At 45.2% G+C, this 17,365-nt stretch overlaps 1 protein-coding gene across 4 annotated transcripts in view; it reads left to right on the top strand.

The window, feature by feature from the left end:
• Positions 1 to 13,760, top strand: part of DMRTC1 (DMRT like family C1) — a 71,813-nt gene extending 58,053 nt beyond the window's left edge. The window contains exons 2-7 of one of the 4 annotated variants that reach the window (NM_001386923.1): positions 9,997 to 10,088; positions 10,454 to 10,512; positions 10,827 to 10,960; positions 11,843 to 11,903; positions 12,088 to 12,235; positions 13,221 to 13,760. In NM_001386923.1, coding sequence (NP_001373852.1) covers positions 10,471 to 10,512; positions 10,827 to 10,960; positions 11,843 to 11,903; positions 12,088 to 12,235; positions 13,221 to 13,333 — 498 coding nt within the window. In that variant the 5' untranslated portion in view covers positions 9,997 to 10,088; positions 10,454 to 10,470 and the 3' untranslated portion in view covers positions 13,334 to 13,760. Of the gene's footprint in view, positions 1 to 9,996; positions 10,155 to 10,453; positions 10,513 to 10,826; positions 10,961 to 11,842; positions 11,904 to 12,087; positions 12,236 to 13,220 lie in introns of all 4 variants that reach the window. The other 3 variants (NM_033053.3, NR_170342.1, NM_001386924.1) reach the window with 3 other exon arrangements.
• The last annotated feature ends 3,605 nt before the right edge of the window (positions 13,761 to 17,365 follow it).

Raw genomic sequence — 17,365 nt, 5'->3', positions numbered from 1 at the left:
TACCAGAAAGAATGAAGTCCTGTCATTCGAGGCAACATGAATGAACCTGGAGGATTTTATGTTAAGTGACACAAGGTAGGCACAGAAAGACACAAATACCACACGTTCTCACTCATATGTGGAAGCTGAAGGAAACTGGGCTCATAGAAGTAGAGAGTAGAATTGTGGTTACTAGAGGCTGGGAAGTATAGAGGGGAGGGGAGGATAGAGAGAGGTTGGCTAATGGATACAATATTACAGATCGATAGGAGGAATAAGTTCTAGTGTTCTATAGCACTGTAGGTTGAATACAGTTAACAGTATCGTATAGTATATGCTAAGAAAAAGCTGGAAGAGGGGATTTTGAATGTTTCCAGCACAAAGGAATGATAAATGTTTGAGGTGATGGATACCCTAATTACTCTGGTATAGTCATTACACATTGAATGGATGTATCAAAATATCACTCTGTACCTCGTAAATATGCACAACTACTATGTGTCAACTAAAAAATAAAAGAAAAAAAAGGAAGACAAATACCACATGATCTCACTCATGTGGAATCTTAAAAAGTTGATCTAATAGAAGCAGAGAGTAGAATGATGGTTGCCAGAGGCTGGGGGTGACGGGGCTTGGGGGGGATACGGCAAGGGAAGATGTTGGTCAAAGAGTACAAAGTTCCAGTTAGACAGGAGCAAGAAGCTTTAGTGATCTATTGCACAGCATTTCTAGTTAAAAATAATGTATTACGTATTTTGAAACTGCTAAAAGAGTAGATTGTAAATGTTCTCGCCACAAAAGAATGATAGGTAGGTGAGGAGATGGATATGCTAATTAGCTTAGTTTAATCATTCCGCATTGTATACATATATCAAAACATCGTATTGTACCCCACAAATATATATAATTATTTTTTGCTTTTTTAAATAAAATAAATTTATAGAGACCGCTGCTTCTGGAAAGATGGAAAGATGGTGTAGTTGTACATTTCCCTATTCTTCCCACTAAGTACAACTTAAAATTCTAGACACTATATATAAAACAAACATAAGGCTGGAAGTGGAGAGAAGAAAGTAGACCAACTGGGGACCTCAGAACGACATGGTGGTGAGTTCCTTGGGTTTTGTTTTTGCCTGATATATCCCAAACTTGGAGCTGAAGAAACCAGCTACTAGGGAATGCCAAAATGCACAGGCAAAACGAAACAAAACTAAACAAAACAGGTGAAGAAACAAAGAAATAAACCTACAAAAGCCTGTTCTGCCTAGCCTAAGGATCAGAAAAGAGGCAGCCAAACAAGACAGAAAATATTTTTCACAATAACTGCTCTACTCCAGTCGAACACCTCAGAAAACTCTGTGGCCCCTTCCCCACTCATGCCAGCAAAGATCTAGTGGGGAGCGTAGACTTCCACATTCATTTCCATGGGCAGAGACGAGGGCCCCTTTGCGCTATCATATCACCAGGATTATGTGGAGATCTCCAACATATACTCCCACCAGGCCATAAGGAGACACCCCTCTTTGTCCCTGCTGGGATGATGTCAGGATTTTCACCACCACTCAGTGTTAAGGATGCCACTCAATCCATGGGCTAAAGAGAAAATCTTCCAGATGTAAACTAGGAGAGCCATTATGGAAAACAGTGTGAAGGTTCCTCATAAAGTTAAAATAGAACTACCATATGACCTAGCCTCCCCACTTCTGGGACTATATTCAAAAGCTATGAAATCAGCATGTCAGAGAGATATCTGCACTCCCATCTTCACTGCATCACTATTCACAATAGCCAAGACTTACAATGAACCTAAGTGTTCATCAGCGGATTAACGAATAAAGAAAAGTGTGGTCTATATACACAATGGAATACTGTTCTGCCATGTAAAAGAAGGAAATCATGGCGTTTCCAACAACACGTGGCATTTCCATGTGTGGAAGGTGAAAAAGTCGATCTTTTAGAGGTAGCGAGTGGAATGGTGGTTACCAGAGGCTGGAGTTTGGGGGAGTGGGGGAGATGTTGACCAAAGGGTACAAACTTTCAGCTAGACAGGAGGAATAATTTCAAAAGATCTATTCTACACCGTGGTGACTATGGTTAATAACAATATGCTGTATACTTGAAATTTGCTGAGAGTAGTTTTTAGGTGTTCTCACCACACACAAAAAATGGTAAGTATGTGAGGTAATGCATATGATAATTACCTTGATTTAGCCATTTCACAGTGTATACTTATTATCAAAACATCATGTTGTACACCACAAATATATACAATTTTTATTGGCCAATTTAAATAAAAAGAATACTGAAGACTAAATCTTCCAGGACTTCAGAAAGTGAATTGAACTGAATGGAAATGATTATAAAACATGTCAACATCTGTGGTGCAAAGCTAAAGCATTGTTGAAAGGAAAATTTATGCCATTAAGTGCTTCCATTAGACAAATGGAAAATTATCAAAGCAGTAATCTATGATGTCACTACACTAAACTAGAAAAAGAGGAGCAAAAGAAGCAGAAGGAAGGAAATGTGAAAGATAGGTAAAATAATCAATGAAATGGAAACCTGAAAAATAATAGAGAAAATCAATAAATAAAAACCGAGGTCTTTAAGAAGACCAACAAAACATACAAAACTCAACAAAGACTGACAAAATAAGCCTATGATGATTCACTGCCTCTGTGCATATTTACTGAATGACTTTAATAACTATAGTTATGAAACTTTTCATATAGTTGACTTTAGGAAGCTAAGCCCTTATGTTTTCAATATGAATCATACAATGGAAAGAAGAAATAAAAGAAACATCAGACTCTTGACTTAAATCACAACAAAATTTGATTTTTGAACTAACAGCCAGATCCCTGCCTTTCACCATAGAAACTAGTTTCTGCGATGTCTTTCACAATTAACTCGATTTCCTTTCTAAGAGGTAGACATGATACCCAAATAACTGCACTATGAGTTCAATTTTTCATGCTACGAGCGTGTCTTTGCAAATTGGAAAGTTCTTGGAGACAAAATTTCCCATGATTCATGTAATGCTAAAAGTAAGGTAGTTGAAATTTTTCAGACTTTGAATCAATTATTCTTCCATACTGTTAGAAAGGTCTTGTATTACATGGACATTTGAGTGGCGACTTAGGTGAAGGCCTTCTGCGTTCTGTAAAATATTATATATGTGGTCTCATAATTTTCTATTATGCGTTATGTAACTGAAATAACAATACCTTTTTATGAGGTCTCCACCAAAAATGTGTGTGTGTGTGTGTCTGTGTGTGTGTATTCTACAAGATCCGAGCCATTTTTTAGTTGGCCAAATTAATAACCTCAGATCCTCTTAATAATTATCATAAACTGCCTTTTTTGCTATTGCTGACCAATTAATTCTAATTTCAGGCAACGAATTTTGTCAATCTGATTAGACTGTTAGAGGGAAAATTCTTATCAAATTCATCATGTATTTGCTTACATTTCTCTTAATATTGTCCAGTTTATTCTCTTTACATTTCTTTCAACAAAACGAATAAACAGCTTGTGCTCTGTCTCTGCCACAGCAAATGCAACATCGACAACAACGAGGTGGGGGAGGGGGTGAGATGAGCTTTTTTACATCAAAATGCCCATCCATAAAAGCAGAAATGAATTATAGAATTAGAGAAATCACCACTTTTTAACCAACAAAGTAATAATCAAATCGGGCAGGAGCCCTGAATGAATACTAAGGCCAAGAGGTAAAATTCTGTTGGAGAGCAGAATATCCGCATGTCATCGAAATATCCTGACAGACTACTTATTAATCACAAAGGGAGAGAAGTACCTTCCCAGTGTAGTACTCTGTCTGAAAAATACCTTAGTTAAGTGATAAAACTGATGAATACAAACAGCATCACCGATAACTAGAGAAACTGGCGTTAGGAGCCTCCAGATGTGACATAATGTGAACTGCTCATCACCTTCTTAATATTCGTACCCAAAGTGTCAAACATAAATATAAACAAGAGGCAAATATCAGGCCAGCCCGTATTGTGGGACACTTTACGAGACAACAGGCCTCGGCTCTGGAAAAAATGTCATCGTCATGGAAGGTTTAAAAAATTGTTTGGGGGTACTGTTTGCAATTAGAGGACACTAAAGAGACATGACAACTGTGTGCAGTGTACCATGCTTGACTGGATTGTTGATCCCCCAAAAAGTCTTTCAAAAGGATATTATTGGGACATTTGGTGAAATTTAAATATGAACTGTATGTGAACTTGGATAGTATTACCCCTTCATTGTTACATTTCTTCAATGTGATAATGGCACTGCGGTTTCATAGGAGTACATTCTAGTGTTTAGGAGGTGCATGCTGAAGTAACTGGGTGAAGTGTTTGGAACTGCTACGTGGTTAGGCAAGAAAAAAATTACTGAGAGATAAAGCAATGAGACAACGTGAATCTAGGCATCAGATTGTTCACTGTATTACCCCCTCAGCTTTGTGTATTTTCAAAATAAAACGTTGAGGAAAATAGATTCCTCATATTTAGAGTTACGCACTGAAATGTTTACAAATCAAATAAGATACATTAAGATATCCACGTATGATTTTTGTACTTTTTTGATTTCTGATATTTGCTTGAAAATAATCTGGAGGAGGGGGAGAGGAGAGGATATGTATGAAATGTGATTGGCCATGAGTCGTTAATGGTTGCAGTTGGGAGATGGATATTTGGAGGTTCCTTATGTTATCCTCTCTTGTGCTGTCGTTCTCAAAATGTGGTCCCCTACCAGCAGTGTTAGCATCACCAGGGAACTTGTTTGCTAAGCAAACTCGGCCGAGCCTGGTGGCTCACGCCTGTAATCCCAGCACTTTGGGAGGCCCAGGCGGGTGGATCACCTGAGGTCAGGAGTTCGAGACCAGCCTGACCAACACGGAGAAACCCCGTCTCTACTGAAAATACAAAATTAACCGGGCGTGGTGGTGAATGCCTGTAATCCCAGCTACTCGGGAGGCTGAGGCAGGAGAATATCTTGAACCCGGGTGGCGGAGTTTGCGGTGAGCCGAGATCGCGCCATTGCACTGAAACCTGGGCAACAAGAGCGAAACTCCGTCAAAAAAAAAAAAAAAAAGAAAGAAAGAAAAGAGAAAAAGCAAAGCAAAGCAAAGAGAAAAAGCAAAGCAAAGCAAAGCAAAGCAAAGCAAAGCAAAGCAAAGCAAAGCAAAGCAAAGCAAAGCAAACTCTGGGTCCCACCCCAGATCTTGTCGTCTGAGAATACAGATACGGAGCTCAGAAATCTTTGTTTTATCAAGCCCTCTGGGTGATTCTGATGCAAGCTAGTGTTTTAGGACCACTGCTCTAATGTACCATACACAAAAAAATTAATACACCATAGCTAAGTTACATTTACTATGGGAGAGGAAAGCTGGTTTGACATTAGCAAAGCTGTAACTGGAAGGGGACCCGAGAGAGGTTTGTGTGTTGCTCATATATTTTGTTGCCTGTTCTAGATACTAATTGCATGCGTATATTTAATTTTTGAAAACTCATTAAGAGGCCTGGCTTGGTGGCTCACACCTGTAATCCCAGCACTTTTGTCGGGCGGACTGCTTGGGCCCAGGAGTTCACGATAGCCTGGGCAACATGGAGAAACCCCGTCTCTACAAAATATACGAAAATTAGCTGGGGATGGTCGTGTGCCTGTAGTCCCAGGAGTTCACGATAGCCTGGGCAACATGGAGAAACCCCGTCTCTACAAAATATACGAAAATTAGCTGGGGATGGTCGTGTGCCTGTAGTCCCAGGTACTTGAGAGGCTGAGGCAGGAGGATTGCTTGAGCCCAGGAGGTGGAGGTTGCAGTGAGCCAAGATCACGACACTGCACTTCAGCAGCCTGGGTGACAGAGTGAGGGGCTGCTTTTTTGTTTCTTCTTTGTTTACAAATCAAATAAAGAAAGCAGCCCAAGGAAGGAAGGAAGGAAGGAAGGAAGGAAGGGTGGGAGGGAGGGAAGGAGGGAGGGAGGAAGGAAGGAAGGAGAAAGAGAAAGAGAGAGAGAAAGGGAGAAAGAAAGGGTAAGAAAGAAAGAAAGAAAGGAAAAGAAAGAAAGAGATAGAAAACTGATTAAGATATACATTTATGATTTTTTAACCTTTTGGATTATAAGTTAAACTTGGCTGAAGGTTTTGGAAAAAACCTGGGAAGTTACCTAGGCTGGGTATTCTAGAGATAATGGATTCTCCCATAACTGATCCATAGATTCAGTGAAAATGCAGTCCAAATCTGTTACAACCGAGTTTTTGGGAAACTTGAAATTGCATGCTAATTTATGCAGAAGGACAAAAGGCCTAAGACATTCGGGGGTGGAGGTGGTGTGGTGTAGGGAGAGAGGAAGAAGAAAGGAAGGAAGGAAGGAGGAAAGGAAAGAACGGAAAGGAAAGGAAGGGAAGGGAAGGGAAGGGAAGGGAAGGGAAAGGAAAGCAAAGAAAAGGAAACGAAAAGTTAAGGAAAACACAAGGAAACAATATTAATATGGAAATGCTGGCAGCATTCCTTTTAAAATCCGGAACAACCCAAAGAAGCCCAATTTTGCTGTCGCTATTAGATCTGGTACTAAATTTCCTAGCCAGCGCTGTTAAAAAACAAACAGCCAACCAACCAAAAAAAAAAAAAAAAAAAAAAACAAACAAAAAACCCCCATAACTTCAATTCTATTTCTACTATGCATAAACTCACAGATAATCCCAGAACGCCTACTATAGAGTTTAGCATGTTGACAGACTTTAAGATCAAGTCACGTTTTTAAAAGTTAAAGGCATTTCTGTAAATTCGATCCAAATAGAAATTGTCCTTTTAAACAGACATCAAGTACAAGAACAGCAACAATCTACAGTATCTTGGAATAAATACAATAAATGATGTGCAAGATCTAAATATACAAAAGATGAAACTAAAAACTGAACTGAAAGATTAAAACATTAAGGACGCACATAAGTGGAGACATCCCAAGTTGGTGAACAGGAAGGCTGAGTATTCTACAGATAGTAGATTCTCCCCCTAACTGATCCATAGATTCAGTGAAAATGCAATCCAAAGCTGTTACGACTGAGTCTGGGGAGACTTGACATTGCATACTAATTCGTGCGGAAGGACAAGAAGGCAAAGAATGGCAAAGAATAGCAAAGATGTGTTTGGAGATGATGAACACCATGCAGGGACTTGCCCTAGCAGATGTCAAGATGTATTGCGAAGTGAAAAAATTTAAGACAATTTAGTAGTGGTACAGGAATAGACACATTTATCTGTGGAACATAACAGGGAGTTCATAAACAGAGACACACAAATATGGACGAAAGTGTCTCCAAGCATTGTTCCCTGGGGGTTGCAAAGTCACCACTGATTGGGAATCCGCGGCATGGAAATATGGATGGATCTTTAATCACATGCTGAATTTTTAAAAGGTAAATTACAAAATACCAAGTACATGAGTTATAAATGCATGCACACCAAATATTTCACACCCAAAGGGAGACTAATCTGGGAAACAAGCCCTGGGGAGCATAAAGCTCAACGATCACTTCACGATTTCTTGACTGACCTAGTACAGGGAGCGGGAGAAGCTACGGGGAGGTGATGGGGGCGTGGCCTCAGAACGTGAGCGTCAAGAGATCTCGAGGTTCATTGGTCGCCAGCCACAGCGGCGGGAGGTCGAAGGCAGCGCAAGAGCTCATTGGCCTTTGTGGCAAGAGCGGGAAGGGAAGCAGAAGCTGGATCTTCCCTCAGACCGTCTGACTGGTTCTGACTTGCCGGAGGCTGAGGCAACCACAGGCTGACATCAGAATTAGGTCCTCGTTCTCCACGCCTCTTATTTCCTCCCACCCTCCTGAGCCAGATTCCCAACCCCTTCCCCTCTCTGCTACCTCAGCAGGGAACCCCCAACTGCTCCTGATGTCCCATCGCGCCCTCAGCTCTCCCGGAATCCCTTTCGGGAGGACTCCTTGCTCCAGCCCCCTGAGCCCTGGCCTTTGGCCAATGAGGCAGGGCTCATGGGATTGCTTTTGATTCGGAGGTCCGGGAGGGAGTGGATGATTGGGCTTCCTGAGGAAGTGGTGCGCTCCAGGGTGGTGGGACTGCGTGTGTGGGGTGGGGTGGGGGTGGGGGGAAATGGTGTGCTCAAGCACAATTGTTGAAGTGTGGAGAGGATTATGGAAGATTTTGGGGAGGCTGTGGAGGGAATGTGTGGGTTTTCATGAAAGCAGAAAAGGTGTGTGAGTCCAAGAGAAACACTACTGCACTGAGGAGTTCCCTACTGGCTAGATCAGAACCTGACACTTCATAGGAGGCTCAACAGGTACCTGCTGAATGAAGAATCAAGGGAATCGGCCGGGCCCGGTGGCTCACGCCTGTAATCCCAGCACCTTGGGAGGCCGAGGCAGGTGGATCAGCCTGGCCAACATGTGAAACCCCGTCTCTATTAAAAAATACAAAAAATGGCGGGGCGCGGTGGCTCACGCCTGTAATCCCAGCACTTTGGGAGGCCGAGGCGGGCGGATCACGAGGTCAGGAGATCGAGACCATCCTGGCTAACACGGCGAAACCCCGTCTCTACTAAAAGTACAAAAAAATTAGCCGGGCGTGATGGCGGGCGCCTGTAGTCCCAGCTACGCGGGAGGCTGAGGCAGGAGAATGGCGTGAACCCGGGAGGCGGAGCTTGCAGTGAGCCGAGATTGCGCCACTGCACTCCCGCCTGGGCGACAGAGCGAGACTCCGTCTAAAAAAAAAAAAAATACAAAAAATTAGCCAGGCGTGGTGGCAGGCACCTGTAATCCCAGCTACTCGGGAGGATGAGGCAGGAGAATCACTTGAACCCGGGAGGCAGAGGTTGCAGTGAGCCGAGATCACACCATTGCCCTCCAGCCTGGGTAACGAGTGAAACTCCGTCTCAAAAAAAAAAAAAAAAAAAAAGGCCGGGGGGGATGCATGAAGGGATGAATGAAATTAGTAACTGAAAGAGGGCCAGGGATCCAGGAGAACAATATGATTTCATGGGATACAAGAGGGAAATCAGCTCAAAGGGGGAGCAAGGGAATAATTAAGTGTAAGGTGGAGTACAAGAAAAAAATCAGCATGAACCAGCATGAAATGTGAGGGGAAAATTGAATATAGGGCATAGAAGAGACTGACAATGGAATTGAGTGCTGGTGGCACAAAATCCTGTGCGGGGAGTGAATGAATGCAGGAGGTTCTGAAGAGAATTGGTGAAGTGGATGCCAGGAATAATACTTGGGTTTGGCAGAGTGCAGGATGATACACAAGAAGGGCGTGTAGTAATGGTGGAAGAGGGCAGGGGAGTGCATGTGCATGCCTGAAAGTGGGGTCTATGGTGAAGTGACGGTAAGCAAGGAGAATAATGACTGCATTGAATGGGTATGGGATCCATTCCAAGAGTTTCTTGGGAGGGGGCTATGTGTGAGTGGGGCTTCTGGGAAGGAGGCAACATCAGCAAGGGGGTTGCAGTGAAGGTTGGCGAAAACCATGGGAGAAGAAGGGGAGGGAAGGCAATCTGATTCCAGCGGTGAGAAGGATGGAGAAGGAGCATTGAGCCACCTCAGATAGGGTTTTCCAAGGGCAGAGGAAGTACGTTGGGGGTAGGGGATCACGTGGCCATTCTGACCTCCGCTCCTGACCCTAGAAGCATGGATCCCGTGTGTCTGAACCTCCATTTCCCTATGGATGTACTGAGGACAAATAAATACCCGCTGCACCCTGCTGCCCCTCTGACTCTGAATGCACCACAGGGCGTCAGACTGGAGCCCCATGGGGGACTGAACTTGGCCCCAGAAGAGCTATAGGTTGCTGTGACCGCTGCCACAACCATTTGGGTATCACTGCCCAAATCAGGGGCCACAAGCATTTCTGCCTCTTCCAGGCCTGCGAGTGTCACAATTGTGCCCTCTTCTCATGAGTATGGTGTCTGAGATGCGGAGGGGCCAGACCTCCTCTAAATGGGACTAATCTTAGCCCTGCTATCCTTTGCTTCAGAGAACGCCTCAGGGTCTTGCCTGCTGTGAGTGCCTTGAAGAGGGAGCAGCGGGCACGATCAAAGAGACACCTGGCTCAAGGACCAATAAGGAGTATGGCTGCCCCTCCCAAAGCTCCCATCCGTGTCAGGAATTTGACCATCAGAGCAGGAGCCCTCAGTGAGTGTTTCTGGCAAGGGAGGGAGCCAGAGTTTGGGTGGAGGAAGCATGAGTGGTTCTGTCACCAGTCCTGTCACAGAATTGCAGTGCGACCTGGGGCAAATTGCTCCCTGGACCTTAGTGTGCCCAGGTGCAAAATGTCACCAATGTTGTCTACCAAGTGTTTGTAGGAAGGAGAGAGCTGGGGGACAGGGCAATCGAAGAGCTCCATGGTGAGATGAGACCTGCGACTGGAGGTGGGGTGAAGTGGGGTGGGGTTGGGGGAAAGACTCACCAAAGCTGTTCCTGGTCTTTCACAGCTGGGAAGGAGAACAACATGCTGCAGCCCGAGACCCACATCTTCACAGCCCCCGAGGAGGTAAGGAGAGTCGGTGACCAGTCGGGCAGGCTCCCACCCAGCCACTGTCCAGACATCTTTCACCGTGTCCCAAGGACATGGGTTTCATCTCCAATCCTATCACCAGCTCACCATGTGACCTTGGGAAATATCACTTCTCCTCCCTGGGCCTCAATTTCCCCAGTTGCAAAATGAAAGGCAAGACTGGCTGGTCTTCAAGGTCTTCGGAGCTCTGACATTCTAGGCTCCTATCCTCATCCTAAAACATGTCCACACCTCCTCTCTCCATGGCTGGCCTGGTACCTGACTGCAACCTGTGCTCTCTGCCCCTGCAGGGGAGCTCCCAAGGGGCTCTGCTGCTTGGCCAGGCCCCAGAACCTTTGTCTCTGCCCTGTACTCCAGTGACCTTGGAGCAGCAACTGGTTTCTCCTTCTGGGGATCCCCACAGGGCCCCTGCCCTGCCCAGCATGTGAGTAGCGTGAGGACCATGGAGCAGGTTGTGTCTTGTGTGCCTAACCTTGTCCTTGATGCCGTGGGAGATGGAGGAGGAAGAGGGGGAGGAGGAGGAGGAGGTGGTGGAGGGGGAGGAGGAGCAGGAGGAGGAGGAGGAGGAGGAGGAGGGAGAGGAGGAGGAGGAGAAGAAGGAGGAGGGCAAGGCAGCATCTAATACTAACGGGCGAGGACAGGGCTCTCCTAGCTTTGCTATTTTCTATTTGTGAGACTTTGGACAAGTGACTTTATGTGTCTGAACCTCCATTTCCCTATGGATGTACTGAGGACAATATTCTATACCCATAGCATTGAAAAGGGAACGGGCACAAGGCCTGCCACATAGTAGGGCTTCAACAAATGGGGGTTGTTATGCCACATGAAACAGGTGGATGGGATAGAAGGTCCTGCTGAAAGGTGGGGTCCGTGCTGGCGAGGGCCACAGAGGCCCAGGGCAAAGCCCAGAGGCCATTAGAGAAAGCTTCCTGGAGACCCTTCAAGACCCATGGGGACTGGGCAATATGGAAGTGAGAACCAGTCCCTGAAGAGGGACAGTAATCACATCTCTCCAGGTGTTTTGCAAATTAAAGCACGGACACCTGTAATTTCCCATGATTTTCACCATTGCCCTGGGAGGAAAGAGCTGGTAGGAATAAGCGTCCCTGTCAGGAAAAAGAGGTATGGAAAAGAAACCTGGCCAAGCAGGAGAAGGGACTTGCCCCAGCCACAATGACTAATGGTCCAGCAGGCATTGGGATTCTCACATCCAGATACTGCAAAATCCTGCCCCTCTTTCTGTCTACTGGTAGTATGTGTCCGCCAGCGGATTTAATCCCCTGGCCTCTCCTTTCCTTGTTTCTAGATGCTCAACTCTGATCCTCCAGCCCTGTGCCACCCTTGACCCTCTTCTACTGCAGCCACAGGTCCTGGGAAAGTAGTGGGGTCCAGAACCCTGGGAGGGGCGGAGTTTAGTGGATGGGAAGAGCAGAAGGCCTTGGTGGGGGTGGGGGAGGAGGTTGAGGGAACAGGGGGCTGAAGGGGCACTTGTCGTATTGGGAAGAGGTGTAGTTTCCCAGTGCCTATTCTCTCATGCACTTTCCTTTCCAGGTCCCCAAAGTCTCTGACCAGGCTTTGGTTTCTGCCCACTCAGAGTGGCAGCGGAAGCTGGAGGCCGCTGAGGCTCTGCTGACTCTGAGAAACTCTGCCCAGGCCCCTCCTGACTCCATCTCCCTGCACCAGCCTTGCAACCCACCAGGTAGCCTGCTCCCTGAAAGGAGAATACAGGGTGGGAATAGCTGGGGAATGGGGGTCGTTGTGGTAAGCAGGTTCTAACTGAAAAATCAGAGTCAGTAAGTTGAATCTCCTTGGGGCCAGGCACCCAAGCTCCTCAGTATGACTCCCGAGATGGTAGTTGAGGGCTGTTTATTGAATCTTCGGTTTATTGAGCTTTGTGTGCAACAGCAAGCGTTCAGTGCCCTGATGTCAAGAAAGAAGGAAGCTGAGGCCCTGAGAGTGGCAGGGACTTGCCCTCTCTGATATGCATGCAGCATATCAAGTGGAAGAACCGGCCCTCTTGACTTTCAGCCCAGGGTCTATGCTCAGCCGCCTGTGGCCTACTGTGGTCTGGGGAGGACATACAGAGGTGATAAAGGGCTTGGTCTGGAAGGAGGTCTGGTCTCTGCCTTCCGGGAGCTTCCAGTCTAGATGTGGAGCCTGGATGCCCTTGCAAGCTGTGTTTTGTGGCCAAATTTTAACGATGTGCCCAGAGAGGAGGGGCTGGAGGAGCTCCGAGGGGGGATAAACAACTGGGGAGGCTGGGAGGGAAGGCTAGGCATTCCCAGATCCAAATGGTGAATGGAGCATGGTGTGTCAGTGAAGAAACACCCCTGGAGGGACTGCTGGAACAGAAAGGGATGAGGCTGGAGAGGATACCAATCACAGAGGTCTGACAGGTCAGGCTTAGGAGGCTGGACCAGCAACTGTGGGTAGTGAGGAGCCAGGGAACGTTTTCTGAGCTAGGGAGAACAATTTCAGAGACCCTGAGCTTGACAAAAAGAGTTGTGGTGGCTTTGATGGAAGGATTGGGGGAGGCAAGATGGGAGATGGGGAAATCAGAGAGGAAGAGGTCTATGCAACAGTCCAGGTGACAAATCTTTGGTTGGGCGGGACGCATAAAAAGAGTAGATCTGGAAGGGGATGTGGATGTGACCTGGCTCTGGCCCCTTCCTTTCTGTCCACAGCTCCTGCTGGAGATAAAGGATTCCAGCCTCCCAGCCCCTCTCTCCGCCCCAGGCCAGCCAGCTCCATCTCGCTGCCTATTGGACATCTGGGATGCATCTCCCTCTTGAGCTAGGAACCCAGAGGAGGAGGCCTCAATAGAGCACTGCCTATTTGGTATCCAGTTTCTGAATGTGCAAAATGGTTAACGTCCAAAACGCTTAACGTCTTTTTTTAAAGCCTTCAGGTGTTTTATAAGCTTTTTATTATATGGGGCAACTCCTTGGCTGAGGGTGGATATTCTTGTACCTCTGTCCCTTACTCTTTTGGATGCTGGGGCCTTTTTCTGTCTCATAAAGACAGGATTGTGCAATCTAAGTTGATCAGTCTCTCAGTGGGGTTCTGTGTGAGTTCATATGCCAGAGTTTTTATTCGTCTTGTGATTGCTGACATACCTGTGCACTCATGTGTATACCCCTGCATGTGGAAACATGAAGATGTTTTCACTTTGTGTCTAGGTTTATGTACGTGAACAAATAATAAACCGTTGTTGTTATAAGGCACTGTGATATACGGGTTGTTTGTTACCACAGTATAACCCAGACTATCGCGACTCTAACCGATTTGTTCAATTCATGTTTCAAAGTGAGAATCACCTTATCCAATAACTGGGATTTCCTAACATGGCTAGATAAGAAAATGGTAGAGGAAAAAGAGTAGGGTATGTATTCATTGAGCAAGGAAGTACCTACCCTCTGCCTGGCATAGACTGTTTCCAGTTGCCCAGAGGGCCGTAAGTGGCAATGCCTGTAGGATCAAGCAGATCATGTAAATGAGTAGAGCAGGCCCGATGGCCTCTGGCCAAACTGACAGTGTATGCTCTGCGTAAGTGGGCAGCTGCTGCTTGGCTCCAGGCAATTGTTGCCATGCAGGGATAGCGACTCATGGTGGCCAAATTGACTGTTTTTTCAAGAGAAGATGGAATTCTAGATTTCTACATAAAATCACTCAACTTTAAACGTTGGCTCGGGTTTCTTCTTTAAGCCCTATATCTGGGCCAAACCAAACTTCCTTGAAGGACAGTTTTGGCCAAGGGAAATGCCAGTTTTGTTCTAGACCAATGTGAATTTTACAGTGGGGGAAACTGAGGCCAATCAGGACAAGAAGAATCAAACAGGAGAAATGAGTTAGACTCAGACCCTGTTTTTGAAGGACCCATGAAATATGAGGAAGCATCACTACCTTTTATTTATTCTGTGCACACCGCACTAAGCACATACAGCCTCACGGCAACTTTGCAAGCTGAGCATTATTATTGCCATTTTGCCTATGAGGAAACACACTCAAAGAATGAAAGTGACTTGCAGAAGTGGTTTGGGGGAAATTTTAAGCCAAAGATCAGCGAACACTCCCTTGTCTTTATCAGGCCCTAAATCAGCGAATAATTCGATTTTTAAATAAAGCATTGAATAAAAGGTTCAAAACTCAAAGCAACAAACATCAGTCAGAGGGTTTTTCCAAAATAGTCCCTTTATTTCTTACTCAAGGTAACAACAATATGTAGTAATCGATCAGATCTTTCTTACCTGCACTGGTTTCCCAGTCCTCTGCTGATATTCTAAACAAATGAAGACCTGGAGACCCCCCACCAGGCAGAAAGAAAGCTCAATTGGACATGCCTGGATATGGGCCCTTTTCCATGCTATTATCTCCCTCCTTTCTTCCCTCCCAGTACTTTACCCAAGACAATTGATTCGGATGACATCCAATTACAACTTGTCCTTTCTTTTTTGAGACCCCGAGAAGTCAGGATTCTTATATTCTTGATCTGATGGCAGAGAAACAAACGTGCAAAGTCACTCAGACTCGGAGCAAGACTAGACTGAAGTCCAGCTCACACCTTCCTTCTTCCCTGATTTGTTACTCGAACAAATGATCCCAAAGCCCCTCCTTTCCTAGTGATGGATGAACAAGTCCACATATTTCTGGAGGAATGAAGCGGTAGTACCTGGAAGAGGACTAAGATCCTGCTATGAAATCGTGTCCTAGGCACACCACAGTCCCACAGTTGACTTGGGTGAAAGAGGAGGCATATTTTGGTTAAAGGATGTGGCATGAGAAGAGGGAGGAAAAACAGAAATAAAGTGATGGGCATTGGGGGAAGCAGTGAGGCCCTTTTCCCTGTCCCCTTTTATTTTCCTGATGCCCCCCTCCCCCCATACACACACACACTTTTTCTAAAGTCTCATAATGGTGTATTTTTGGCATCTTAGGACATCTTTGTGAATGTTAAATATCAAACCTTTTTCGTGTACTTCCCTTAGCCGTGTACTACCCCTGTTCATAGATTTAAAACATGGCTGTGTAGAGCACTGTGAGTTATGTCTTGACTCGTGTATGTCACATAACAGCATTGGTTAGATCTGAGCATACCCATCACATCAGAGCTTCTGTAGAGTGGATCAATTTCAACCATTAGTGTGCAGGTACAGGTTTAGCAACTGGCTCTCAGGGGAAAGGAAGGTTGGGGGAAATGCCCTGGGTTGTTGCATTTGCCGAATGCAAGATATCAAAGTGATGTCAGTGAACGCAGAGTTGGGAAGAGATGTATTTTTACCATTCGGATACCATAAATGTAAATAACCACAAGAACACAGATAACAGTACAACGTAGAAAAATAATTAGGGATTGATATTTTTTAGCATATATTATGTTTGTTTTCAATATAATTGATGTGATTGTTAGTTTATATAATGTAGTTTTTAATAATGGCTGTATTTAACAACTGGCTCACAAAATTCTTGAAAATCTTATGGTTGGCTCTTATGTTCTGGTAAGAGCCAGCTCCAGCACTCCGCCACTTTCAACCCTTGCCCAGAAAGACAGCTTTTCCAAAGTAGGTTCCGCTAACACTGCAGGGCCATAAAGGGCTGCTACTGCTGGTTTCTGATCAAGAACAGCCTAAAATGTATGGGAAAGTATTATTTTTAAATTAAAAAATGGAAAGACCTGGGACAAATATTGAGCGGAATAAACAGTCAAAACCATTTATGTGGGAATGCGCATTCTTGGAGGGGGCCAAAGTCGGGTAGAGGTGAGTGGTAGGGATCTCAGAATTGGCAAAACCCATCCATACACGGTTATATTCAACAGATTTCTCTTTTCTTTTTTGTCAACAGATTTCTTAAAGGCTAGAGAAATGGGGGCAACCGGTATTACCTGGCCATTGGACCTGTATCTCTCTTTAGAGAGACTGACATTCATTACACTCTCGCCTCCTGCTTAGATAAATGCTGCATAAGCTGTTAATACATAAACTTCTCCACCTCGCCTTTTTTAAAAACTTAAAAACACATCCTTGAGGCTACCTGATCGCCAAGCTGAGAACAGTGTTATTTCAGTGAATGGATGTACTGACCACACTATTATGCATCTTGTGAAGCATTTAAAGTCACACATATAAGAAAAATTTCTATAAATGCCACTTGTTCCCCACGTTGAGAACTGTGTTATTTCAGTGAGTAGATGTGTTAGCTACAATGTAATGCATGTACTGAAGTGGTTAAAGACACATGAATAAACAAAGTTACTAAAAGTGAAAAAAGAGAAATCCTTGAGGCCGGCGTGGTGGCTCACGCCTGTAATCCCAACATTTTGGGAGGCCGAGGCAGGTGGATCACTTGAGGTCAGGAGTTTGGGACCAGTCTGGCCAACATGGTAAAACCCCGTCTCTACTAAAAATACAAAAATTAGTCAGGCGTGGTAGTGGGTGCCTGTAATCCCAGCTACTCAGGAGGCTGAGGCAGGAGAATTGTTTGAACCCGGGAGGCAGAGGCCGCAGCGAACTAAGATCGCGTCACTGCTCTCCAGCCTGGGCGACAGAGCGAGACTCCACCTCAGAAAAAAAAAAGATATCCTTGAGATCACTCCACAGTCCTCCCTGCAGACATCCCTCACTCCTCACGACAACTAGAGGGTACTCCATTGTGTGGACCTACCATAGTGTGGTCAACTGGTCTTCTATTGATGGACACTCTGGTTGTTTCTATTCTTGCTATTATTTTATTTTATTTTTTCTTTTAGTAGAAACGGGGTTTCACCATGCTAGCCAGGCTGGTCTCGAACTCCTGACCTCAGGTGATCCACCTGCCTCGGCCTCCCAAAGTG

The sequence above is a fragment of the Homo sapiens genome, chromosome X (genome assembly GCF_000001405.40).
Source record: "Homo sapiens chromosome X, GRCh38.p14 Primary Assembly".
In the NCBI taxonomy this organism is placed as follows: Eukaryota; Metazoa; Chordata; class Mammalia; order Primates; family Hominidae; genus Homo; species Homo sapiens.
The sequence above is the reverse complement of the archived record's forward strand: the minus strand, read 5'-3'. Positions and strand labels throughout refer to the sequence as shown.